The sequence below is a fragment of the Homo sapiens genome, chromosome 10 (genome assembly GCF_000001405.40).
Source record: "Homo sapiens chromosome 10, GRCh38.p14 Primary Assembly".
Taxonomy (NCBI): domain Eukaryota; kingdom Metazoa; phylum Chordata; class Mammalia; order Primates; family Hominidae; genus Homo; species Homo sapiens.
Window position 1 is genome coordinate 31,900,593 of NC_000010.11, and position 27,733 is coordinate 31,928,325.

The window sequence follows — 27,733 nt, forward strand, 5'->3', positions numbered from 1 at the left end:
TCTGAAAAGGCTACCTACTGTGTAATTCCAATTAAAAGACATTCTAGAATAGACAAAACTACAATGAGAGTCAATAGATGACTGGTTGCCAGAAGTGTGAGGGAAGGAAGGTGAAACACAGAGGATGTTAAGGTAGTAATTACATCCTGTATGGTGCTGTAATTGTGGATACCCAATATTGCGCATTTGTTAAAACCCATTTAAGTTTACCACACAAAGAATGAACCCCAATGTATGCAAATTTTTTTTTTAATGTAGGCATTTGAGGTGGGTCGGGAATTCCAGGACAGAATGCAGACTATGACAAAACAACCTAACTTTATTAAAAATGTATGAAACTGGGCCGGTCTCAGCAGCTCAAGCCTGTAATCCCAGCACTTTGAGAGGCTGAGGCGGGCTGATCACTTGAGGTCAGGAGATTGACACTGGCCTTGGCCAACATGGCAAAACCCCGTCTCTACTAAAAATACAAAAAATTAGCTGGGCACGGTGGTGCACCTGTAATCCCAGCTACTGAGGAGGCTAAGGCGGGATAATCGCTTGAACCTGGGAGGCAGAGACTACAGTGAGCCAAGATTGCGCCACTGCACTCCACTCTGGGTGACAGCAAGAATCCGTCTCAAAAAAAAAAAAAAGAGAAGAAAAGAAAAAGAAACTGGTTGGACTCAGTGGTTCATGCCTGTAATCCCAGCACTTCGGGAGACAGAGGCGGGAGGATCACTTGAGGTCAGGAATTTGACACCAGCCTGGCCAACATGGTGAAACCCCATCTCTACTAAAAATACAAAAAAATTAGCTGGGAATGGTGGTGGATGCCTGGTCCCAGCTACTCGGGAAGCTGAGACAGGAGGATCACGTGAGCCTGGAAAGTGGAAGGTTGCAGTGAGGCAAGATCACATCACTGTACTCCAGGCTTGGGTGACAGAGCAAAAACCTGGTCTCAAAAAAAAAAAAAAAAAAAAAAAAGTTTGAAACTACCTTCTTAAACCAGGATGAAGGAAAAGGTGCTAATCTCAAAACCTCTGAAAATGTGTAGAATCTGTAAAACTAAAGTTACTATATTCCAGTACTATAAATACTTTATTCTAGTTAATGAAGTCATAGTCCACAGAGGTAAAAGTTAACAATTCTGATGCTCTTGTATGTGCATACCAGAGGCTCTAGGGAAGAATTCCCTCTTTCTTTCTTCCACCTTCTTGTGGCTGCTGGCATTCTTTGGCTTGTGGTCACATCACTCCTATCTTGAAGGCCAGCATCTTCAAATCTGTTTCTTCTTCACATAGCCTTCTGTGTGTGCAGTGCCCTCTACCTCTCTCTTATAAAGACATTTGTGATTAAATGGAGGGTTTAGGATAATCTCGTCAAGATCCTTAACTTAATCACAACTGCAAAAACCTCTTTCCCAAATAAGGTAACATTCACAGGTTCCAGGGATTAGGACCTATTATCTTTGGTAAGTATTATTCAGCCTACCACAATAGCTAAAACAATTCTGAAAAAGAAGAATAAAGTGAGAGAAATCAGTTTATCTGATTTCGATACTTATTGTATAGCTATGGTAAATAAGGCTGCATGGTATTAAAGAAAGGACATATATGAATGAAACAGAATAGAGGACCCAGAAATAGACCCACACAAAGGAGCCCAAATTATTTTTAACCAAGGTAGAAGACAATTTATTGGAGGAAAGACAGCCTTTTCAACAAATGGTACTATAACAATTAGATATCCATAGGCAAAAAAAAAAAAAAAGAATCTTGATCTAAGGCTCACACCTTATATAAAATAATATTAAACTCATGGCCAGGCACAGTGACTCATGCCTATAATCCCAATACACTGGGAGGCTGAGGCAAGAGTATCACTTGAGGCCAGGGGTTCAAGACTAGCCTGGGCAACACAGTGAAACTCTATCTCTACAAAAAAATTATAAACTAGCTGGGCATGGTGGCACATGCCTGTAGTCACAACTACTCACGAGGCTGAGAAGATCACTTAAGCTGAGTGGTTCAAGGTTCTAATGAGCTACAATCGTGCCACTGCACTCCAGCCTAGGTGACAGACAAAGACCCCATCTCAAAAAAAAAAAAAAATTACTCAAAATGGATCACAAATTCAAACATAAAATGTGAAACTATAAACTTAAAAAAAAATAAAGCATTCAGGATCTAAGGCTTCTGTGATGGTTAACTGTATGTGTCAAATGGGCTGGGCCACAGTACTCAGATATTTCCATTATTCTGAAAGTTTCTGTGACAGTGCTTTTTTTTGGATGAAATTAACACTTTTAAATGTGGACTGAGAGTAAAGCAGATTGCCCTCCAGAATGTGAGTGGGCCTCATCCAATCAAATGAAGGCCTGAATAGAACAACAGACTGACCTACCTCAAGCAAAAAGATATTCTGCCACCAGACAGCCTATCAATTTGAAGTGCAACATCAGCTCTTCCCTGAGTCTCTAGCCTGCCAGTCCACCCTGCAAATTCTGGACTTCATGCATCACTTAACAACGGGGATATTTTCTGAGAAATGTAACAGTCAATTTCATCTTTGACTTTCACAGAGCGTTCTTACACAAAACGAGATGGTATAGCCTACTACACACCTAAGTTAGATGGTATAGCCTATTGCTCCTAGGTTACAAAATTGTACAACATATTATTGTACTGAATACTGTAGGCAACTGGAACAAAATGGTAAGTATTTGTGCATCTAAACATAGAAATGAACAGTAAGAATACAGTATTATTATCTTCTGGTACCGTCATCATTCATGCAGTCCATCATTGACTGAAATGTCATTATGCGGTGCATGACTGTATACACACACACATACACAACCTTATCAGTTCTATTTCTCTGGAAAAGCCTAATATAGCTAGAGTTCTTATACTTGATATAAAGGCATGATCTATAAAAGGGAAAACGGATAAACTGGACCTCAACAAAGTTAAAACTAGTTCTTGGACTTAACACAAAACCATGATTCCACATAAGGAAAAAGCAGTAAACAAGACTTCACCAAAGTTAAAAACTTGTGCTCTGCAAAGACACTATCAAGAGGATGAAAAGGCAAGCTACATGCTGGGAGAAAATATCTGCAAACCATGTATTTGGCAAATGGCTAGTATCTAAACTATGTAAAAAAAAAAACTCTCAAAATTCAACAGTAAAAAAAACCAAACAATCCAATTCGAAAATGGGCAAAAGACATGCAGAAACATTTCAATGAAGAGGATATATCAATGGCAAATAAACATATGAAAACATATTCAACATCAGTACCCATTAGAGAAATGCACATCAAAATCAAAATGAGATTACCCACCTATCAGAATGGCTAAAATAAAAAAATAGTGACAACACCAAATGCTGGTGAGCACGCGGAGGAACTGGATTACTCATACGTTGCTGGTGGGAATTTAAAATGATACTGTCACTCTGTAAAAACACTTGGGACTATTTTCTAAAAACTAACCATGCAACTACTTTATGAACAGCAATTATACTTGTAGGCGTTTATCCCAAAGAAATGAAAAGTTATATTCACATAAAAACCTGTACAGAAATGTTTACAGCAGCTTTGTTTGCAACAGCCAAAAACTGGAAACAACCTAGATATTCTTTTATGGATAAATGGTTAAATAAACTATGGTACATCCATACCATAGAATACCACTCAGCAACAAAAAGAACAAACTATTGATAACACACAGCAGCCTGGATCAATCTACAGAGTTACACTGAATGAAAGGCCAATCCCCAAAGGTATGATTCCATTTATATAAAATTCTTCAAATGACAAAAGTATAGCAATGGAAAACAGATGAGTGGTGATTGGGGTTAAGGAGGGTTAAGATGGGAGGGAATTGGTTATGGCTGTAAAAGGGCAACATACAGGATTCCCGTGGTGATGGAAATGCTCAGCATATTAACTGTACCAATCTGAAACCCCTGATCGTGATATTACAGTATAGTGTTGCAAGATGCTACCACTAAAGGTAACTGGATAGAGGGTACAAGAGACCTGTCCAAATTATTATTATTATTTTGAGACAGGGTCTCACTCTGTTGCCCAAGCTGGAGTGCAATGGTGCAATCTCGGGTCACTGCAACCTCTGCCTCCTGGGCTCAAATGATCCTCCCACCTCAGCCTCCCAAGTAGCTGGGACTACAGGCACATGCCACTACACCCATCTAATTTTTGTATTTTTTGTGGAGATGGAGTTTCGCCATGTTTCTCAATTTAGTCTTGAACTCCTGGGCCCAGGTGATCCTCCCACCTCGGCCTCTCAAAAGTGCTGGGATTACAAGCATGTGCCACCACACCCGGCCTCCAAATTATTTCTTGCAACTGCTTATGAATCTACAATTCTCTCAAAATGAAAAGTTTAATTAAAGAAGACTGATCAGTAGTGATGTAAGTCAGGAAAATGAAAACCTCCTAAGACAGACATAGGAGCTGAGGGTGTGATATCGACAAGGAAGGGGCTCGAGACTGGTTACAGAATATATACATAAGTAAAAATTCATCAAGCCATACACTGAAAATTAGTAATATTTACACCCTTGCTATGCTTGAAAAAAAAATTATTTAAATTTGGCAACTGATTATTAATCTTGTTGGCTGTGATAATTGTATAAATTATGTATAAAATTTTGCGGGGTTTTTTGGTTCTTGTTTTTAGAGACGAGGTCTCACTATGTCACTCAGGCTGGTCTCAAACTCCTGGCCTCAAGTGATCCTCCCACCGCAGCCTCCTGCATAGCTGGGACTACAAGCGCACACTAAAATTCTTTTAACTGCCTTGTAAATTATCAACAATGAAACCATGAGTATCTTTAGCAGAAACAGTTTGGGTGGTGTGGTGGAGCCAGAAACCACACTGGAGAGGTTATCATGTGAGTGGGAAATGAGCAAGTGCAGAAAAGCAAATACATATCAGTTTTTCCAGGGGTCGCCGATAAAGGTAAAGGAAGATAAAAGATGCTCAGACGGGAAGGAGGAGCTGAAGAAGAGCTTTACTAAGATGAGAAAAACATGAGCAAATGTAAATGCTGAAAACACTTGACAAACAACAAGTCTAAAGCCATATGAGCACAATACTATAATCTTTGGCATAAGGTATGTGAAATGTGGGAAGAGTGAATATGAGGAGAATGTTCTTTGATTGCACAGGAAACACTTGCATTGTACTGGGGGAAAAGAGGACTGTTGATACAGGTGTATTTATAGATCTGATGGTGGAAATAATAACAGAAATAACAACAATAATAACAATGGCAGCTATATTTTATGGCATACTTATTGTTATAGCCAGTCCCCAAGGAGGCTCCTCAATGATCCTCAAATCCTGATATGCACACCCCTGTGTAGTCTCCTCCCACACAGAACAGGGCTGAACTGCACAATCAATAGGATATGACAGTGGGCAATTTCAAAGATGAGGACTAAAGGACAATGCAGTGTCTACCACGTTCTCTCTGCTCCATCTGAAGAAAACTAGAAACAACACACAAGCAGCCATGAAGAGGCCCAACTAGCCCCACGTGAGTGAACCATCTTCAGAAGCAGCCCCTCCAGCCCCAGCCTTCATTAGGACTGCAACCTCAGGAGACATCCCTAGCCTTCGGAATCACCCAACTAAGCTGCTTCTGATTCAGTGACTCACAGGAACCAAGTGGTAATGTTTACTATTTTAAGCCACTCGAATTGGGGGTAGTTTATTAAACATCAATAGATACATAATGCATTTATTATGTGCCTCAAGAACCGTGACCCCAATTTTTAAATGAAGAAACTAAAACACACAGAGGTTCAGTGATTTTCCCCAATTATCACACAGATGGCAAGTGATACAGAACCAGATTCCAATCTAAAGCCAGTACTATTAACCATGTGCTCCCCAAAGCTGAAGTCGTTTCCATCCCATGGCTTTCATATTTGCTGTAAAGTGGAAGGAAGGCAAGGTTATCTTCTCATGAGAGCAGGGGAAAATAAGTGAAACAGAGAACTGAGTAAAATGAAGAAGGTCTGAAACAGCTGCCATGGAGAGTTAGGAAGAGGGCTGGCTGGAGAAATCTAATAGGATTTCCAAACAGTGTTAAGGCCCCAGGAGAAGTTAGGAGCCATGGAACTCCAGGGCAGTGAACTTAAGATGACTGTAATGAAAAAAACATAGGATTGCGTGCGTACATAAATATAAAATGTAATTTGAAGTGTGAAATTGTGGTGATGGCTGGATGGAATCCTGTGTCTTTCCTAAGGCCCATTAGTTCCCTGAGGAGCTAAATATAGAAAAATTCCAGGAAAGACTATATATTCTATGTCAGAGTATCACATAAAGACTGAACAAAAACTCACTAAGACACACAATGATAAACTGACAGAGGTACTTCACATAGCTTCCTTGATCTCAAACACTAGAAGTTTTTCTAAAGTCTTCCCTTTTTCCTATTTCCATTCCAAAATGTCACAAGAAAAATTACAACCTACAGAAAGAATATACTTCCATGACAATCAGACCACACCTAAGGGCACCCCTCGCAATTATTCCCAGACTTGATGAATAATCTTACAACAGAACTTCAAGCCAAAAACTCATTAATTTTTAAATTCACTTAAAGTTAGACTTTTCAAAATATATTCAAGTTTCAATTTCACGTATGTACTTTTAAAATGTCTTCACTTCACTTGAGAAATAAAATGGCATAGATCTAATCTCAAAAGAAAGGTTTAAAAAGAAAAAAAAAAGCCAGGTACAGTGGCACACACCTGTAATCCCAGCTCTCTGGGAGGCCAAGGCAGAAGGATCACTTGAGCCCAGGAAGTGACCAGCCTGGGCAACACAGTGAGATCCTGTCTCTAAAAAAAAAAAAAATTTTTTTTTAATTAGCTGGCTGTGGTGGCACACACCTGTAGTACCAGCTACTGGGGAAGCTGAGGTGAGAAGATCACTTGAGCCCAGGAGGTGAAGGCTGCAGTGAGCCATGACTGTTCCACTGTATTATAGCCTAGGCAACAGAGCAAGACCTTGTCTTAAAAAAAAAAAAAAAAAAGAACCAGGAACACAGAAAAATTTTTCCAGACTAATACTCAGTGAAATCAAGTGTGGATACTTAGACACTTAAGACAAAAGTTAGCAGTTAATATTCCAAGGACATCTTTCCTCAAATAACCATTATTACCTGAAGACTTCTTGGAACCAAGTCAAAATGGGTACAGGTAAAAAAGAGTAAAAATTTTTTCTATTAGAAGAAATATCATCACTGAGTAAATTAAGTAAATCCCCTCTGCCTTATACATAATCAATAGAGAAAAGGGAAAAAAAGTTTCCTCACTTAAAGTAGATCTAGTCCTGTCATGGTATAAGAATAATTATGAAAACCAAAGTGACCCTTTATGAACTCCACAAGTTATTTCACATATTTTCTAGATCTCTAAATCAGGATAGAACCCATGTACTCTGAAAATACAAAGCAAAACAAGTCTTAACTCTTACAAATATTTCAATTAAAACTATAACTAATATTTTCACTAGGGTGGTACAGTGTTTCCTCATTCTATTTTTAATCTTACCCTTATCTGTTCAGTGGAGCTGCTGCTAAGTTCATCACCAGATTCAGAATCTTGATGTATTCTTTCAGAGCCTTCTCCTGCGGAATCACAAGATTGTTCCTGGGAGAAGCTAGTTTTCTCTACATCCAAGAACTCTGGACCGGGAAAATGACCAAATGAGCGTGTCCTATTCTGGCTGGAAACTTTAGGAGAATGTGAGTCATTGTTAAACTTTCCGTTATTATGGGTCAGGTCCAGGCTTAGGTTGACAGTCTGACCTTGATTATAACTGGGTCCAAAATTCTGATTGGCATCACGAATAAGACCTGTTCCTTGAACAGATGACGATGGCTTTCCGAAACTTGAAAGCTCAGGCAATTTGTTCACATTTTCTGTTGATCTCTGAAGATGCAAACTCTGCATTATTTTCGTGGAGTTATTTGGCAGACCAGCTACCTGCTTAACAGGTGGCATGAGAGCTTTGCGCGTGACCTCCTTCACATACTGGGCTGGCACATAAAACGCTTTGGAGTTTTCATCTGGCTTGACTTGCCACCAGTCATCATTGGTCTTTTTCACCAAGATGTACCTCTCCCCTTGTTTTATCACAATCTTTCTGTCCTTTGCTTCATATTCATAATCATATTCCACCTCAATATACACTTGTCCTGGAATAATCTTCCCACTTCTGTCAGCCATTTTCATTCAATAATATTCACCTCTCAAAAAGGATGTTATACCACATTATGGCTTTATGGCTTGTTGGATGAATATAGCTGTTTTATTTAAATGGAGAAAGAGAATGAAGAAAAAAGTTAATGCAATCTGGATTTCGTATTTACTCACAAGCATCATATAGTATAGGCCATTTAAAGAACATTACTTCAAATCTCAAACCCCAAAAAGCAAACATGTGTCTACTATCATATGCACTGCCACATTAAAAACACTTTCATTCTAATTGTAATCTACATTTTTCAGTCACTTATGACCAAAACAAAAGCCGATAACTGGAACAGTAAATATACACTAACCAGGTAGACACAAGAGTTGAGAAGAACTTTCCTTCCTTTCATTACTCCCTCAAACCTCCTTCACCTTCTTAGAAAGGCTCACTAATAACTAATATGCATTTACTTTCATTTCTATAACAATTCCAAAATATTTTAGTACCTCCTAGAACACGGCATTACGGGTTTAAATGATCACCTCCTAGAACACGGCATTACGGGTTTAAATGATCACTGCATCCTCACATCACTACAGCATGAGCCAGTTCCCACCTGTTTGGGGATGAATTGTGTTCCCCCAAAAGACAGTTCAAGTCCTAACCCCAGGATCTGTGAATGTGACTTTATTTGTAAAGAGGGTCTTTGCAGATGTAATCAAGTTAAGACAAGGTCATATTTGATTAGGGTGGGCCCCAAAATCCAATGACTGGTGCCTTTATAAGTAGAGGGAGATTAAGGGCACAGTGGCTTACACCTATATTCCCAACACTTTGGGAGGCTGAGGCAGGTGGATTGCTTGAGCCCAGGAATTTGAGAGCAGCCTGACCAACATGGCAAAACCCTGCCTCTACAAGAATTACAAAAATTAGCTGGGTGTGGTGGCATGCACCTGTAGTCCCAGCTACTTGGGAAGCTGAGGTGGAAGGATCTCTTGAGCCCAGGAGGCTGAAGTTGTGGTGGACCAAGATCACACCACTGCACTCCAACCTGGGTGACAGAGTGAGACTTTGTCTCAAAATAAAAAGAAAAAAAGGAGGAGATTTACAGAGAGGAAAGCTACAGAGGGAGAAGACCATCTGAAGAGAGAGGCAGAAACTGGAGTGGAGTGAAGCAGCTAAAAGCCAAGGAACACCAAGGACTGCTGGCAACCACCAGAAGTCAGGCAGGGGTGAGGAAGGAAGGGTTCTCCCCTGGAGCCTTCCGAGGGAGCACGGCCCTGCCAAAACTGATTTTGGACTTCTAGCCTCCAGACCAGTGAGAGAATAAAAATAACTGTCTGCTGTTTAAGCACTCCAGTTTGTAGTATTTGTCACAGCAGCCCTAGGAAACTAATACATTCAACCCAATGCTCAAGGATCCTAAGGCAAACTGAGATTTACCAAAAATGTGCAAACCCAAGGTTCCATAACAACCTACTAATTTTCTATAGCAAACAAGTACTGAGCATATTATTCTACACTACAGGTGTAGTAACCATCATTCTCCTGAGGATAACAATCTTCTCTATGACAGATAACGCCTATAAGGCCAGGTGGTAAGTCAATTAGTCACTGATACAATTTTGTTAACTGAAATTTACTTTCTAGACAAACTACTTGACTAACAAATTTAATACAACACATTTTCAAAAAATAAAAAATTACCTTAGAACAAGGAGATCTACACCAGTATCACATTTAAACCTGTAAAAAAATAAATAAGTTCATTAACTCAAACCAAGATCGCTGAAGACTAAGAATATAATGTTGCTTACATTTTTAAAAGCAAAACTTTTTTTATAATAGCTATAAGGAATCAGGAAAGTTTTATACATCAAGATTGTGGTCAGCACCGCCCTCCAAATACATGCAAACACAACCACCAACAGCCACTGAGGCTGGCTTTACCACTGCCCTCTCCCACTGTACTTCCACACTGTCTCAAACTTCATTTTGTCCCTTATTTTTAATTCTGACAAGCATCTTTCTAAACTTCTGATTATACAACAAACATCTCTTCTATTATAAAACTGTGAGGATGAAATAACTGTTTTTCAAGTTTATGTATTGAATGGGTAAAGAGAATAAAAACGTATGTTAAAAGTTATTAGGTGTCCTAACACATTTGTCCCCTGATTACTTCCTAATTATTTTATTTATTTTTTTATCTTATTTATTTATTTTTTGAGACAGAGTCTCTGTTGCCCAGGCTGGAGTACAGTGGCACGATCTTGGCTCACTGCAGGCTCTGCCTCCCAGGTTGAAGCAATTCTCCTGCCTCAGCCTTCCAAGTAGCTGGGATTACAGGCATGAGCCACCATGCCCAGCTAATTTTTGCATTTTTATTAGAGATGGGGTTTTGCCATGTTGGCCAGGCTGGTCTCGAACTCCTGACCTCAGGTGATCCGCCTGCCTCAGCCTCCCAAAGTGAGGGGATTATAGGCATGAGCCACCGCACCTGGCTATTTACTTTCGAGACACAGTCTCACTCTGTCACGGAGGCTGGAGTGCAGCTGTACAATTTGGGTCACTGCAACCTCCACCTCCTGGGCTCAAGCAATTTTCCCACTTCAGCCTCCCGAGTAGCGGGAACTGCAGTTGCACACCACCACACTCTGCTAATTTTTGTATTTTTTTAGAGATGAGGTTCCACCATGTTGCCCAGGTTGGTCTTAAACTCCTGGGCTCATGTGATCCACCCACCTCTGCCTCTCAAAGTGCTGGGGCTGCAGGCGCGACCACACCCAGCCTACTTACTAATCTTAAATAGGATAAAATACCTTAACAATGGAAAGATGTGGTGGCATAAGCTTAACCAAATGATCAAACTTAAGAGCACTAATGCGACCTGACAAGATATGCCTCCTATGTGATGCAATAAAACATACACAATGTCACCTACGTTATATTCTTGTCAAAAGCATGTTTCACCTTAAGCAATTATTAGAAAACAATCAAACAAATCCAGAATGTGAGACATTCTATTAGACAACAGACCTGAACTCTTCAAAAAAGTACTGTCAAGGGAGGGGGATTCTTCTAGACTAAAAAAGACTATTAATACATAATAACCAAATCTACTTGGTGGTCCAATAAATACCTCAAACTTATCATAACCAAAATGTATTCCCATCTCTACCCTACCCGAGCTCTGCCAAATATGCTCACCCCATGGTCTCTTCCATCACAGTAAACAGGAATTCTGACCTTTCAGACGCTCAGTCGTTACTTTCATGCATTACCAGAACGCTAGTCACTATGTGCTTTGATCATTTACCTATACAAATTTTTCACAACTTTTCAAAATTTTACCCTGAAATGCTTATCCTTAGGTGATTTTTTTTCCAGGAAAGTAATAAAATAACTTAAGAAATATCTTTGAAGATACAGAGATGAGCGAGGGAATATGCAGCTACTTTTCAAAAGGTTACAGCAGCTCAGACATACTATAGTTAGTTAGACATTTATCCCTAAGAATGGAGAAAAGAAGGATGAAGAATAACAAGTGAGCTGTACGGTTTCACACTAGTGGGAGAGGAATTGTGGGGCTGGGGACAACAATGAGTTAAAGGCCAGTCCACATTCAATCTCTTTCACTGCCAGGCTTTAGGACTACACCTTCCCCACAGTGACTACAAAGATAAGTATGAAGGAGGAGTTAGGGAGAAAGATAAAGCAAGTCGGTTTTACTATGTTCAACATGAGACATCCAATCTAGAGTTTTAGTTAAAGGCAATGAGAAGTAGGAGGGCAAAGGAGATGGATAAGTGGTCAAAAGGTATCTCTATAGAAAAGGTGGTTAGATACCAAGGCAGGTAAAATGAGCAAGAGTGGAGACAATGGGATAGAAAGTAAGAGCTGAGATAGATTTCTAGTCAATACCGGGGTGAAGGGTGGGGAAACAGGTTGGGAAGCTCCAAGAGAAACTATTAAAATTATAAACATGCAGAAAGCCACATAGCAGGAACTACATGTTACAATCCAAGGTCTAGGAAGAGCCACATAAAAATGAAAGAAAAAAACTTATTATAAATTATTCATTCAGAAACAATGAAAATATTAACCCCTTGTTAGACATATAGTTTACAAATATTTTCTCCCATTATATAGGTCATCTCTTCATTCTGTTGACTGTTTCCCTTGCCACGCAGAAGCGTCTCAGTTTGATATAATGCCATGTGTCGGCCGTACACTGAGCTCCACAGAAACAACGCCAGGGCAAGTGTGAGCCAGAAAGGCACTGAGCAACTCTATGCCTTGATGAGGAAAAATAACTGAACACGGGCAAAGATCCAAAGAAGTCAAGAGGCAAAAATGTCATTATACACATTATTTGTGCAAACTTGCCAGGAGGAGCACAGGAAGCACCCAGATGGTTCAGTCAGCTTCTAAGGGTCTTTCTAAGAAGCGCTCAAAGAGGTGGAAAACCACGTTTGCTAAAGAGAAGGGAAAATGTGAAGACAGGCAAAGATAACCCTGGCCCATTATGAAAGAGAAATGAAAGCCTACACCCCTCCTAAAGGGAAAACAAAATAGAAGTTCAAGGATCCCAATACACCCAACGGGCCTCCTTTGTTTGGCCTTTTTCTTGTTCTGTTCTGAGTATGGGCCAAAAATCAAAGGTAAACATCCTGGCCTATCCACTGGATATACTGTAAAGAAACTGGGAGAGCTGCAGGTGACAAGCAACCTTATGGAAAGATGGCTGTGAAGCTGAAGGAAAAATACAAAAAGGATATTGCTGCATACCAAGCTAAAGGAAAGCCTGATGCTGCAAAAAAAAAAAAACACGAGTCATCAAGGCTGAAAAAAAAAGCAAGAAAAAGAAGAAAGATGAGGAAAATGAAGAGAATGAGGAAGAAGAGGAAAATAAAGATAAACATGAAGATGATGACAAATCAGTTGGTTCTAGCAGGGTTTTTTTTTTTTTTGAAGAAAGAATTGAAATGTAAGGCTGTATAAGATTTGTTTTCAAACTGTACAGTGTCTTTTTTTGTACAGTTAATACACTACCAAACATGTCTTTAGATAGCCCTGTCCTGGTGGTATTTTCAATAGCCACTAACCTTCTTGGTATAGCACGGGGGTTGTAAAATGGCATGGAAATTTAAAGGTACTTGGTGCACAGCACAAATCAGTTACTTATGGAGATGGTAGTTTCTTCATCTTCAGTTGTTGTCTCTATGCAGCTTACATGAAATAATTGTTCTGTTAACTAAACTAAATACCACTCTGTAATTGCAAAAACAAAAGCTGCAGTTGTTTGTTAAAATTCTGAATGCTTCTAATACAATTTTTTATTAAGAAAATAATAATAATGCCATTTGCTATTTTTGCTTTCGTTGCCTGTGTTTTAGAGGTCATATCCAAAAGTCCTTGCCCAGACTAATGTCATGAAGCATTTCCCCTATGTTTTCTTTCTATAGTAGGTTCATAGTTTCAGGTTTTATATTTAATTCTCTAATTAAATATAAAATGACTGTTTTATATGGTGAGAGAGAATCTAGCTTCATTCCTCTGCATGTCGCTATACATCTGACAAGGGGCTAACATCCAAAAAGGATAAGGAATCAAATAACTCAATAGCAAAAAAAAAACAAATAATCCAATTTAACAATGGGCAAAAGCCCCAAATAAATGTTCTTCAAAAGAAGACACACAAAAAGCCAATAAGTGTAAGAAAAAAATGCTCAACATCACTAATCAGGGAAATGCAAATCAAACCCACAATGAGAAAGCACCTCACCCCAGTTAGAATGGCTATTATCAAAAAGGCAAAATATAAGCTGGCGAGAATGTGGAGAAAGGGGAACCTTTATATACTGTTGGTGTTAATGAAAATTAGTATTGCCATAATGGAAAACAATATGGAAGTTCCTCAAAACATTAAAAATGGAACTACTATATGATCCACCAATTCCACTACTGGGCATATATTCTAAGGAAATGAAATCAGTATGTGAAGAGATATCTGCACTCCCACATTTACTGCAGCAGTATTCGAAATAGGCAAGATATAGAATTAATCTAACTGTCCATTAAAGGATAAAGTGTATATACATACACACATACACACAACAGGATACTACTTAGCCATAAAAAAGAAGGCAATCCTGCCATTCGCAACAACATGAATGAACCCAGTGGACGTTACGTTGAATGAAATAAGCTAGGCACAGAAAGACAAACACCACATGGTCTCACTCACATGTGGAATCTAAAAATATTGATCTCTTAGAAGCTGAGGCCAGGCGCAGTGGCTCATGCCTGTAATCCCAGCACTTTGGGAGACCGGGGCGTGCAGATCACCTGAGGTCGGGGGTTCGAGACCAGCCTGACCAACATGGAGAAACTCCGTCTCTACTAAAAATACAAAATTAGCCAGGCGTGGTAGCGCATGCCTGTAATCTCAGCTACTTGGGAGGCTGAGGCAGGAGAATTGCTTGAACCCGGGAGGCGGAGGTCGTGGTGGGCCAAGATAGCGTCATTGCACTCCAGCCTGGGCAACAACAGTGAAACTCTGTCTCAAAAAAAAAAAAAAAAAGTTGAGAGTAAAATGGTGGTAACGAGAGGCTAAGGGCCTAGGGGAGAAATACTGAGATGTTGCTCAAAGGACATACAATCATAGTCAAATAGGAGGAATAAATTTCAAGAGATCTATTGTACAGCAAGGTGACTACAGTAAATGACAATATACTGTATTCTTGAAAACTGTAAAGAGAGTGGATGTGTGCTCTCACCACTAAAATGATAACTATGTGAGGTAATGCATTTGTAAATTAGCTAAATTTAGCCATTCCACTACGTATATATACTTCAAAAACTATATTGTACATAATAAAAAACATACAGTGTTATCAATTTTTTAAAAATGTGCTGAGAATGTGGAAATGGAATCATGAAATAATTTACGTTTAAAAAAATGAAACAAACTTCACAGAAAGGACAAAAATCAGATAAATTCTCTGAAAAAAATAATTAAAATGATTATGGGGTAGCACTAAAACTTTAGATCTAGGTAACAGTATCTACAAATGTGTGAATAATTAATGCTATTTTTACTTAAAAACATAAGCTGTATTAAAACAAACGTTTACAGTTTTAATTTTGGGTTGTTTCTTCCTCTGTTCCCCAGACCTGTAGATTCTGTTCTTAAGAGAAAGTTGAACGCTGTTTATCCTGTTTCTATAAAGTATTTTGGTTAAAAGTTTGCTCAATCAAATACAACGCTGTCCAAGCACAATACTCCTGGAACTGAAATGTATTCTATACTATACCCATCACCACACGCCTCCATCCATATTCATCCCAAACACTTACAACTACTAAGTACCCAACTCCCAGTATATACAAGGTCTGCATACCTACTGCCTGCTACACCCCGATGCTGCTCTTAGCAGTCTCAAAAACGCCCATACAAGCTTTTCATGCCTCTTACCAGTCTTCTTCCTCCTCCCTTTTTCCACGTTTCAACAACCACCACCCCCGACACACACGCCTGCTTATATATTTTACTTCTCTGCCCCCAAGTCAGATTCAAATTTCCTATCACGCTATTTTTTAATCTAAAAGCCTCCTCCTTTCTATCTGCCAATTTTTAAAATTTTCTTCCCATTTAAACTACCAAGAAGCCTACCAAAACTTAAACAGTTCAGCAAATGTTGTCTTTCTCCCCCAGGACATCCGTTTTAACCAACCAATCTGTTTAAGAGGTATATCAAAAAAAGTAAACAGGTAAACAAAACGTTAAAGAAACATAATGTATCTTTTTTTTGGAGATGGAGTCTCCCTCTGTCACGCAGGCTGGAGTGCAGTGGCGCCATCTTGGCTCACTGCAATCTCTGCCACCCGGGTTCAAGCGATTCTCCTGCCTCAGCCTCCCAAGCAGCTGGGACTACAGGTGCCCGCCACCACATCTAGCTAATTTTTGTAGTTTTAGTACAGATGGGGTTTCACCATGTTGGCCAGGCTGGTCTGGAATTCCTGACCTTGTGATCCGCCCGCCTTGGCCTCCCAAAGTGCTGGGATTACAGGTGTGAGCCACCACGCCCAGCCGAAACATAATGTATCTTAATTAGTGAGCTTACAATTTAAGTCCAATCCAGATACGTATAACCTATTTAGCAATGCTAATATTGTGAACTATAAAATGTTAATATAGCTTCAAACATATAAAATATTAAGAAACTTTTCCAGTTTAAGCACTGAACTTCGCATCAAATCCTCCGAGTATTTTTTAAAGTACTTGTTTAAAATTAATAATCCCAGGCCGGGCGCGATGGCTCACACCTGTTAATCCCAGCACTTTGGGGGGCTGAGGCGGGCAGATCATGAGGTCAGGAAATCGAGACCATGCTGGTTAACACGGTGAAACCTCGTCTCTACTAAAAATATAAAAATTAGCCAGGCGTGGTAGCACGTGCCTGTAATCCCAGCTACTCGGGAGACTGAGGCAGGAGAATATCTTGAACAGGAGGCAGAGGTTGCAGTGAGCCAAGATCGCACCACTGCACTCCAGCACTCCAACAGAGCAAGACTTAGTCTCAAAAAAATAAAAAAGAAAAGAAATCATTACCCTAGTCTTTATAAAAGTTCAATGAAACTTTCGATCTCCTAACAACTTATTCTAGAAGAAAAACATTCACTTCACAACACTACTGGCTACCCAGGTATCTTCTCCTCCCCAACCCATTCAGGTATTCTGAAACTATACACATTACTCTCTTAAAGAAAATCTTCTAAATATCACTTACATTCAATTACTTGCATGTGTTTACCAATCCCCCATGTTTTAAAAAGATATAATCCACAAAACAAAGGCAAATACATCTGTTAGTGCAGCAATTATTTAAGTCTGGCCACTGCAAAGTTCTAGTGTCAGACATCAGTAACTCACCCAAAAAAAGGAGAAAACACTCTATAATGTTTAAATTATGCCAGTTTACTTCAAATAAACATTGGGATATCAAGAGTCATGGTGGGCAAAGAACCTGACAGACATTTTTCAAAAGAAGATACAGACGGTTCCCAACTTGCAATGGTTCCAGTTACAATTTCCTGACTTTATGGTGGGTTTATTGGAATATCAAATACCTTTTTTTTTTTTCTTTTGAGAGATGGGGGTCTCATTCTGTCACTTAGGCTGGAGTGCAGTGGTACCATCATAGCTCACTGCAGCCTTAAACTCCTGGGTTCAAGAAATCTTCCTGTCTCAGCCTCCTGAGTAGCTAGGACTACAGGTACGTACCACCACACCTAGCTAATTTTTAATCTTTTTAGAGATGAGGGTCTTGCTATGTTGCTCAGGCTAATTTAAATGCATTTTTGACTCACAACATTTTTGACTTATGATCAGTTTATGAGAACATAATACCATCATAAATTAAGGAGCATCTGTATATAAGCGGCCAGTAAGAACCTGCAAAGATGCTGAATATTACTGATCATTAGGGAAATCACACACACACACACACACACACACACACACACACACACACACACCAATGAGATACCACTTCACACCCAACAGGACGGCTATCATTTTTTTTAAATTAAAAAATAGACCAAGTACAGTGGCTCATATCTGTAATCCCAGTAATTTGGGAGGCCGAGGCAGGAGGATCACTTGAGCCCTGGAGTTCAAGACCAGCCTGAGTAACATAACGAGGCCCCGTCTCTACAAACAAAAATTTAAAAAATAGCCAAGGATTGGTGGCACATGCCTGTAGCCCTAGCTACGCAGTAGGCTGAAGTGAAAGAATCGCTCAAGCCTGGAAGTTGAGGCTGCAGTGGGCTGTGACTGTGCCACTGCATTCCAACCTCAGCAACAGAGTGAGACCCTGTCTCAAATAAATAAATATAACTAAATAAATAACAAATGTTTGTGAGGATGTGGAGAAACTAAAACTCTTGTGCACTGCTGGTGGAAATGTAAAGTGGTACAGCCACTAGGGAAAATGGTATGGTAGTTCCTCAAGGAAACTGAAAATACAATTACCACATTATCCAGCAATTCCACTTCTGGGTATACACCCACAAGAATTGAAAGCAGAAAGTCAAACAGATATTTGTATATCCATGTTCACAGCAGCATTAATCACAATAGTCAAAAAGTGGAAGCAAACTAAATATCCATCAATGGACGAATAAACAAAATGTGATACATACATAAAATATTATTCAGCCTTAAAAAGGAAGGAAATTCTGACAGTACAATGTGAATGAACTCTGAAGACTATTTATGCTTAGGGAAATCGCCAGTCACAAAGGGCAAACATTATATGATTTCATGTATATAAGGTACCTAGAGTAGTCAAATTCATAAAGACAGAAAGCAGAATGGTGGTTACCAAGGGATGGAGAAAGACAGCAACAGGAAGTTACTGCTTAATGGGTATGGAGTTTCAGTTTAGAAAGATGAAAAAGTTCTGGAGATGAAGGGTGGTGATGGCTGGACAACAAAGTTAATTTATTTGATGCCACAGAACTGTGCACTCAAAAATGGTTAAAACAGTAAATTTCATGTTATATATATTTCACTAAAGACACTGTAGTATACAATTTAAATCACCTTATACCCATCTACTCAAAAGCCACAAGTAACTAAAATCCTCATGAAGCTCTTACAAATCCTCTTTAAAAGTAGATATAGGGCCAGGCGCGGTGGCTCACGCCTGTAATCCCAGCACTTTGGGAGGCTGAGGTGGGCGGATCACAAGGTCAGGAGATCAAGACCATCCTGGCTCCCACGGTGAAACCGTCTCTACTAAAAATGCAAAAAAATTAGCTGGGCATGGTGGTGGGTACCTGTAGTCCCAGCTACTCAGGAGGCTGAGGCAGGAGAATGGTGTGAACCAGGGAGGTGGAGCTTCCAGTGAGCCGAGATCGCACCACTGCACCTCCAGCCTGGGCAACACAGCAAGACTCCATTTCAAAAAAAAAAACAAAACCAAAAAAAACAAAAAACAAGTAAATATTGGCCAGGCACGGTGGCTCACGCCAGTCATCCCAGCACTTTGGGAGGATGAGGTGGGTGGATCACGAGGTAGGAGTTCAAGAACAGCCTGACCAACATGGTGAAACCCCATCTCTACTAAAAATACAAAAATTAGCTGGCCATGGTGGCATGCCTGTAATCCCAGCTACTCAAGGCAGGAGAATCGCTTGAACCTGGGAGGCGGAGGTTGCAGTGAGCCGAGATCGCGCAACTGCACTCCAGCCTGGGTGACAGAGCAAGACTCTGTCTCAAAAAAAAAAAAAAGTAAATACTAAAAAGCAAACAAACATTCAAACTCTTAGAAAACTGAAAATTAGCCGGGCGCAGTGGCTCACACCTGTAATCCCAGCACTCTGGGAGGCAGAGGTGGGCGGATCACAAGGTCGGCAGTTCCAGACCAGCCTGACCAACATGGTGAAACCTCACTCTACTAAAAATACAGAAATTAGCCAGGCGTGGTGGTGGGTGCCTGTAATCCCAGCTACTAGGGAGGCTGAGGCAGGAGAATCGCTTGAACCCAGGAGGCAGAGGTTGCAGTGAGCCAAGACTGCACCACTGCACTCCAGCCTAGGCGACAGAGTGAGACTCCGTCTCAAAAAAAAAAAAAAAAAAAAAAGAAAACTGAAAAGTAGCACTTACGCAGCATACAAATGATGAACTATTACCAATCCCTCAGCACATTTTGTCATCTACTGGAAAAAAAAAATCCACGATTTGTAAGTTTTATTCAAATTGATTTTAACAAGAATAAAAATCAATAATGTAAACTAAAGCCCAAATTAGGTATCACTACACATCAACTACAATAAAGTTTTTGTTTTTGTTTTTGTTTTAAAAAAGACAATAACAGTGCTGGCAAGTATTCCAGAAACTAGAGTATTTACATAGTGTTAGTGAGAGTGCTAAATAGCACAGCCAGTTTAGTAGTTTCTTACAAACCTAAGTTCCTGTATACCACATTCTCGGCCATGGAACAAGCCTCAATAAACTGAAAAGAACTGAAATTATGCAAAGTATGTTCTCCAATCACAATAAAATTAAATTAGAAACTCTCAAAAAGTATCTTAAAAACCCCAAAATTGTTTTTGGAATCTAAGCAACACACTTCTAAATGAGTCAGGAGTCAAAAGACAAAATCAGGCTGGACAAGGTGGCTCACGCGTGTAATCCCAGCTCTTTGGGAGTCGGAGGTGGGAGGATCACTTGAGGCCAAGAGTTCAAGACCAGCCTGGTGAGTTTTGAACTCCTGGTGAGACCCCGTCTCTACAAAAACTAAAAAAACTAGCCGGGCATGGTGATATGCACCTGTAGTCCCAGCTACTAAGGGAGGCTGAGGTAAGAGGATTACAGGAGCCCAGGAAGTCAAGGCTGCAGTTTGTGACACTGCACTTCAGCCTTGGTGAGAGTGAAACAACGTCTCAAAAAAAGAAAAAAGAAACCAAACAGGAAATGTGTACTGAATGAAAATGAAAACATGTAATTTCAAAATTTGTGGGATACAGCTGAAGTAGTGCTCAGACAAAACTTACAGCACTAAATGCCAGAAAAAACACAAAGTCTCACATCAATGACATAAGCTTCCACTCTAAGAAGGTAAAGAGGAGCAAATTAAATCCAAAGTTTGTAGAGGTCGGGCGCGGTAGCTCATGCCTGTAATCCCAGCACTTTGGGAGGCAGAGTCGGGCGGATAATGAGGTCAGGAGTTCGATACCAGCCTGACCAACATGGTGAAACCCCGTCTCTACCAAAAATACAAAAATGAGCTGGGCATGGTGGTGCATGCCTGTAATCCCAGCTACTGGGGAGGCTGAGGCAGGAGAATGGCTTGAACCCTGGGGACAGAGGTTGCAGTGAGCCGAGATTGTGCCACTGCATTCCAGCCTGGGTGACAGAGCAAGGCTCCATCTCAAAAAAAAAAAAAAAAAAAAAAAAAAAGTTTGTAGAAGAAAAGATATGAAAAAGATGAGAGCAGAAAGCAATAAAAAGAAAACAGAAAAATGTTAGAGAAAAATCAATGAAACCAGAGCCTGGTTCTTTAAGAGCAGTAAAACTGTCCAGGTGCAATGGCTCACACCTATAATCCCAGCACTTTGGGAAGCCAAGGCAGGCAGATCATCTGAGCTTAGAAGTTCAATGCCACCCTGGGCAACGTGGTGAAACCCCATATCTACCAAAAATACAAAAAATTAGCCGGGTGTGGTTGGCATGTGCCTGTGGTCCCAGCTACTCAGGAGGCTGAGGCTTGTGTCCAGGAGGCAAAGGCTGCAGCGAGCTGAGATCATGCCATTGCACTCCAGCCTGGGAGACAGAGCAAGACCCTGCCTCAAAAAAAAAAAAAAAAAAAAAAAAAAAAAAAAAAAAAAGCACAGATCAGTAAAACTGACAATCCTCTAGCCAAACTAATGGGAACAAAAGAGAAAAGAAACAAATTATCAAAAAGGTAACCAGAGACATAACTACAGATCCTGAAGACATCAAAAGGAAAATAGAAAATATTATGAACAACTTTATGCCAACAAACTCAACAATCCACATGAAGTAGACAAATTTTTTTTTTTTTTTTAAGAGACAGGGTCTTGCTCTGTTGCCCAGGCTGGAGTGCAGAAGCATAATCATAGCTCACTGCAGCCTCTAATTCCTGGGCTCAAGCAATCCTCCTAGCCTCAGCCTCCTGAATAGCTGGGACTACAGGTGCATGCTACCATGCCCTTCTAACAAATTTCTTGAAAGATACAAATAACCAAAGCTTGCTAAAGAATAAACAGATAACCTGAATACTCCTATATCTATTAAATAAACAGAATTTGTCTTTAAAAGCTTCCCACAAAGAAAACTGGCCCAGGCGGCTTCACTGGTGAATTTTACCAAAAACGTAAAGAAGTTACTACCAATTCTACATAAATCTCTCAAAAAAAAGTTGAAGCAGAGAGAAAACATCCCAACTCCATTCCACCAAAACCAAAGACATTATAAAAAAGAAAAAAATCATAGGTTAGGCAAGGTAGCTCACACCTGTAATTCCAGTGTTTTAGGAAGTCGAGACAAGAGGATCACTTGAGGTCAGGAGTTCAAAACCAACCTGGACAACATAGCACGAACCCGTCTCTACAAAAAAAGTTTACAAAATTAGCTGGGCATGGTGCCACACACCTGTAGTCACGGCTACTTGGGAGGCTAAAGTGGGAAGCCTGTTTGAGCCTGGGAGTTCGCGACTGCAGTGAACTGTGAACATGCCACTGTACTGCAGCCTGGGGTGACAGAGCAAGACCCTAACAGGAAAAAAAAAAAAAAAAAAAACAGGCAAAATATTTAAACAGACTTGTCCAAAGATCTATAGATGGTAAATAGGCTCATGAAAATATGCCCAACATCTTTAGCCATCAGGAAAATGCAAATTAAAACCAAAAAGAAAGAAATGTCACCACACATCTCACAGAATGGCTAAGTCAGGTCATACCAGTGTTTTTGAGAATGCAGGGCCAGTGGAACTCACACACAAAGCTGGTGAGGATGTAAAACTGAACCAGCATTTGAAATAAGTTTGGCAGATGCTTAAAATGTTAAATATGCATCTACCACATGATTCAGGGATTTTCCTCTTAGGTATTTACCAACAAAAATTAAAGCATATGTAGACACAAAGACAGTAGTTTCATCTGTAACAAAGAGAAACTCGCAAGTCAATCAACAATTGAATAAACTAATTGTGGTATATCCACACAATGGAATATCACTCAGCAATAAAAAGGAACGAACTGTTGATACACACAGCAAACTGGGTGAATCTCAAAATAATTTTCTTGAGTGAAGAAAAATCCAGACCAGAATCCATAGTACACGAGTCCATCTGCATAAAATTCTAGAAAATTGATTTCCTAGAATCAAACTAATTGATAGTGACAGAAAGCAGAGCAATAGTTGCCAAGGGACATGGGGAATGAATCACATAGGAGCTCAAGGAAATTTTTGATGGGTGAAAGAAATGTTCATTATCTTGAAAATGGTAGTGGCTTCACAGGTATATACATATGTCAAAACTCTTCAAATTGTACACTTAAAAAATATGTGCAGCTTGTTATACAGCAATTATACCTCAAAACTGTATTTTTTTAAAAAAACTGTTAAAACCCTAATGATGCAAATTAAAACAACCAGGTATCACTACTCACCTACTGGATGGCTTTCAAAAACACAGAATGTTTTGTATGGTAAAGATACCAGCAACTGGAATTCTCTTCATTGCTGGTGGAAATGCAAAATGGTACAACCACTGCGGAAAATAATTTGGTAATTTCTAATAAAGTTAAACATACGCTTACTACATGATCCAGCAATCCCTCTTCTAGGTATTTACCCAAGAGAAATGAAAACATAAGTCCACACAAAGGCCTTACATGAACATTCATAATGGCCAGAAATTGAAAACTCAAAGGCCTATGAACTTGTGAATACAAACTGTGGTACAATCCATCTCTAAAATAGGAAACAGTACAAACCTCAAAAGATCCTTGTAAGAACGGAAAGAGAAAACACGAAAAAAAGCACTTAGATATAAAGCATGATAGATGGTATCACATTAATCACTGCTTACTCAAGGAAGCAAAAGCTGTAATAGAGAAATACAAATCATATAGTATGTAGCCTTCTGTGTCTGACATGTTTCACTTAGATTAATGCTTTTGAGATTCACTCATGTTGTCTCCATAGATCATTCTTTTTTATTGTTGAATGTTAGTTTATTTTATGTATGTACATTACACTTTAATAAAACTGAAATTTAAAAATATATATTATGTAGCAAAATATAGGAAATTTTCAGCCAACTTTAAAAGATGTCACTCTAACCTCATAACATATTCTGAATTCTGCTGTGGGGAAGGAAAAGAGCACAGAACTTGGAGTCAGAGGTCTAAATTTTAAATCTAGGCTTTACCATTTATCAGCTCTCAGGACCCTAGGCACCTTAACTTGCCTGTAAAACAAAGCAAACAATACAAACCTCAAAAGATGTTTGTGAGAAGAAAGAAAAAAAACTTTGTAACTTTCAGACGTCACAGAGTATCTACATTAATCAGTGCTTACTCAAGGAAGCAAAAGTTGTGAGAGTAGAAAAATAGTCACAAACGCACTGATAATTTATAAAACATCCTGTCTCTGTCTCTCGCTGTGTGACTCTGGACAAGTCATTTAACCTCTCTGGGCTTCAGTTTTTTCCATCTGCAAAGTGCAGCTTATTAGTAGTACATACTGCATACTGGGAGAATTAAGTAAATGTGTGTAAGGCACTTGAAATAGTGCATGGAGCATGGCAAGTGCTTTAAAAGTTTTAGGTCTTACTACAAAAAAACTATTATCATCATCCTACCAGACCCAATACTGGCCACCATCCTGCCCAAACAAGCTGTAGCAGTACAAGTGATTAATAATCTAGATCACTGGATTCTCAAACTTTTAGTGAGCAATGGAATAATCTGAAGAACTTTTCTAAAAATAAACTTCTTATTTTAAAAGAGTTTTAGATTTACATAATTACTGCAAAGATAGTCCACAGAGTTCCCATGTACTCTGGACCCAGTTATCCCTATTAACAACTTATGTTAGTATGGTACATTTGTCATATTCAATCAACCAACACTGACACATAACAATTTCCACACTTCATTCAGATTTCCTTAGTATTCTCCTAATGTCCTTTTTCTGTTCCAGGGTCCCATCCAGAATACCACATATACATTGTATAGCCATATCCCAGAGCGTTTTCAAACCACAGATTACAGGCTCTAGCCCTAGATATTCTAACAACAACCGGTATGAGGTGGGGCCCTAAAATTTACATTCTCAAGGATTGCTGATGAGGCCAATCTGAAAATACACTAAGAGTAACATTGGTCTACACTTTTAGACTCCAAAACTGTTGTTCGATACAGCAGTCACTAGTCAAATGTGCCTAATGCAAATTGAGAAATGCTCTAAGTGTAAAACACACTTGATATTTCAAAAAACCTGGTCCAATGTAAAGAACATAAAATATCTCATTAATAATTTTCCTATTACATGTTAAAATGATATTGTGAATATACTAAGTAAAATATATTCATTTATTTCACTTTTTTTCCACGTGCTTACTTTTTATAATGTGAATACTAGAAACTTTAAGCACAAGTAATTTATATAGGCATTACATTTCTATTGGACAGCAGTGGTCTGTGGTCTGGCAGAACAGCATCCATATGACCAAGTGGATATTAGAAGTGCAGGTGATTCCTATGCACGTTAAAATTTGAGAAGCACTAGATTATCAACAGGGGAAGGAGGCTTAGAGACTACACCATTTGGCAGTTCAGTTCAATTAAAGAGCTAATCAATTACAAAACGAAACTGCAGAATATTCATTAAGTCCATGAAGTCAATGAAAGTAATAGGGAAATGGCTGAATCACAGCAAAGCCATATACCAATGAGCCGGGGCCAGCTAACTGAAGAAAAAAAAAAAAAACCACAAGGATAGTGGCCCAATAGGTTCCTCAAAAGAGGTAATCTGAAAAGCCCGATTTGAAGTACAGTGATGCTATGTCGTACTACGACACCTTTCACATCTGATTCATACTACAAAATAGTGCATATTTGCAATTCTAGCCAAAATTGTTAAATACAGGACAAAAGTTTAATTTCACTTTTCTCTCCCATGATTTATTGTAAAACTGTGATGCCCATTTTCTCAGGTAAGTAAAATATTAGTACTACTGTTTAATGGTTAAACAGATCACCACTATTTAGTTTTTACTCCATTTAAAAATTTTAATCACCCGTATTATTTTCAGTAATATCACTTACGTAGAGTACTTAAAAATTTGTAAAGTTCACTTTCTATCAGCCTACTAAAAAACCACTGAGCAGATTCTTTCTAATTAAAGAAAAGTCAAATGATTAACTACAAGTAACATGCTGTTTTTCTACAGCACTTAATCTATTTTCATTTGCACCTCGAAACAACTGGTATTAGCAAATATAAAACCGAAAGAGATGCAATGTATTGATAATTATATATGAACAACTAATATATATATAACTAACTATACAGACGGCATTATCTTAACAATCAATGAGTCATCAGTCTTCTCCAGCTTGATGAAGTACGAACAGAAATCTATCAACAAATATTGGCGCATAAATATACATACACACATTATATTACACTTCTGGGGTTTCTTTTTCCCCCACAGAGAAACACTTTTAGAACAGTGGAGCCGCATGCAACCAGGGGTCGCACATATGTGCGCAGACGGTCTGGCTCGTCAGGTGGCATGGGTGGGGGTCACGCTTTCACTGCCTGCTTTGGGCTCTCAAAACCCAGCTCTGAAACGTTTCCAAGGCAAAATAAAAATAGCCAAAATGCCTATTCAGACCAGAGGAGGTAGAGGAAGATGACCGATTCTGTAAAACACCCTCCTACAGATAAAGAAAAGGCGATATGGGCAAGTACACACACATCTAGGCCATCGTTCCCGACTTTTAAGTATGAAAGAGGCGTGGCTAGGGGCTAGATACTTATTTTTAACACTTCCATTGAAACACCCGGAGTCTCCCAAGGTCTAACCTCTAGAAGTCGGGTGGCAGAACCTGAATCAGAACCCGAGTGAGCCTTCCTTCCTCCACCACCTCCCTTTAGGAACGCATGCCTAAATAGTCGATAAAATCTACTTCTCAATGTCATGATTAACCCAAAAGCCAGCCACAACCAATCGTGTTATTAGAGTGCTAAAAGCCTCTATCCACAACAAACACTCCACTTGGGATGACATTAAAACTTTCGATAAAGGTGTACTTTCAACGTCGTGCTTTAGCCTTTGAAAATACATTTACAAAACTGCAGCTGCAGTCAAAAGGAAAACATCACACGCCTCGAAAGCTGAAGGGCGTGCCTTTTTCTCTAACGAAGACCGTGTGGCCATTTCTTCTCAAAGGGTCTGCAGTCACTTAAGATAGCAACGCGTAAAGGACAGCCGTTCTGAGAAGACAACCAGCTCCCCTGAGATGGGAGGCGGGCTGCACGCTGGTAAAGAGGATTTTTCAATTCAAGGACTTTGAGGAGATTCCGCCCAGATAAGCTGGAGGGGAGCGAATGCACGTCCATCCAGCAGGGGCAGGGCACCGGGAAAGACCGCAAAGAAGAAAGTGTCCGGTTTAAGGTCAACAGTCCTCGAGGGACGCCCCAGGTGGATTCCCCGGGTGGGCTCCCCGGGTGGGTGGAGGCCTGCAAGCCCCACCGCGATTAGGGAGTGGGCCCAGGGCGCGGGAGGGGCCGGGCCGGCCTTTTGCGCACACACACACACACACACACACACCCGCCTTTTGCAGACACACGCGCGCGCACACACCCGCCTTTTGCACATAGACACGCACACACCCGCCTTGTGCACACACGCGCGCACTCTCCCGCACTCACACACACACCCGCGCACCCTCACACT

General features: G+C 39.8%; 1 protein-coding gene, 1 long non-coding RNA gene and 1 pseudogene across 11 annotated transcripts in view, besides 1 other annotated feature; 2 read left to right on the forward strand and 1 right to left on the reverse strand.

The window, feature by feature from the left end:
• ARHGAP12 (Rho GTPase activating protein 12) overlaps positions 1-27,733 on the reverse strand; it is a 123,479-nt gene that overhangs the window by 95,195 nt on the left and 551 nt on the right. For 9 of the 10 annotated variants that reach the window (XM_017016954.3, XM_047426021.1, XM_011519761.3 and 6 more), the window contains exons 2-3: positions 9,933-9,971; positions 7,580-8,334 (exon numbers count right to left, since the gene is read on the reverse strand). In XM_017016954.3, coding sequence (XP_016872443.1) covers positions 7,580-8,263 — 684 coding nt within the window. In that variant the 5' untranslated portion in view covers positions 8,264-8,334; positions 9,933-9,971. Of the gene's footprint in view, positions 1-7,579; positions 8,335-9,932; positions 9,972-27,733 lie in introns of those variants that run through there. The other variant, NM_001270699.1, reaches the window with a different exon arrangement.
• Positions 469-969: an enhancer, noted in NCBI's record as "H3K4me1 hESC enhancer chr10:32189989-32190489 (GRCh37/hg19 assembly coordinates)". NCBI's record gives its function as "activates a minimal SCP1, AML or CMV promoter by ChIP-STARR-seq in primed H9 embryonic stem cells {active_cell/tissue: H9 hESC(primed)}" and the evidence as "EXISTENCE:reporter gene assay evidence [ECO:0000049][PMID:30033119]".
• On the forward strand, positions 12,557-13,162 carry HMGB1P7 (high mobility group box 1 pseudogene 7; annotated as a pseudogene).
• LOC107984219 (uncharacterized) overlaps positions 22,260-27,733 on the forward strand; it is a 97,548-nt gene continuing 92,074 nt past the window's right edge. Inside the window, exon 1 of the long non-coding RNA XR_001747415.2 lies at positions 22,260-27,451. This is a non-coding gene — a long non-coding RNA (uncharacterized LOC107984219). The remainder of the gene's footprint in view (positions 27,452-27,733) is intronic.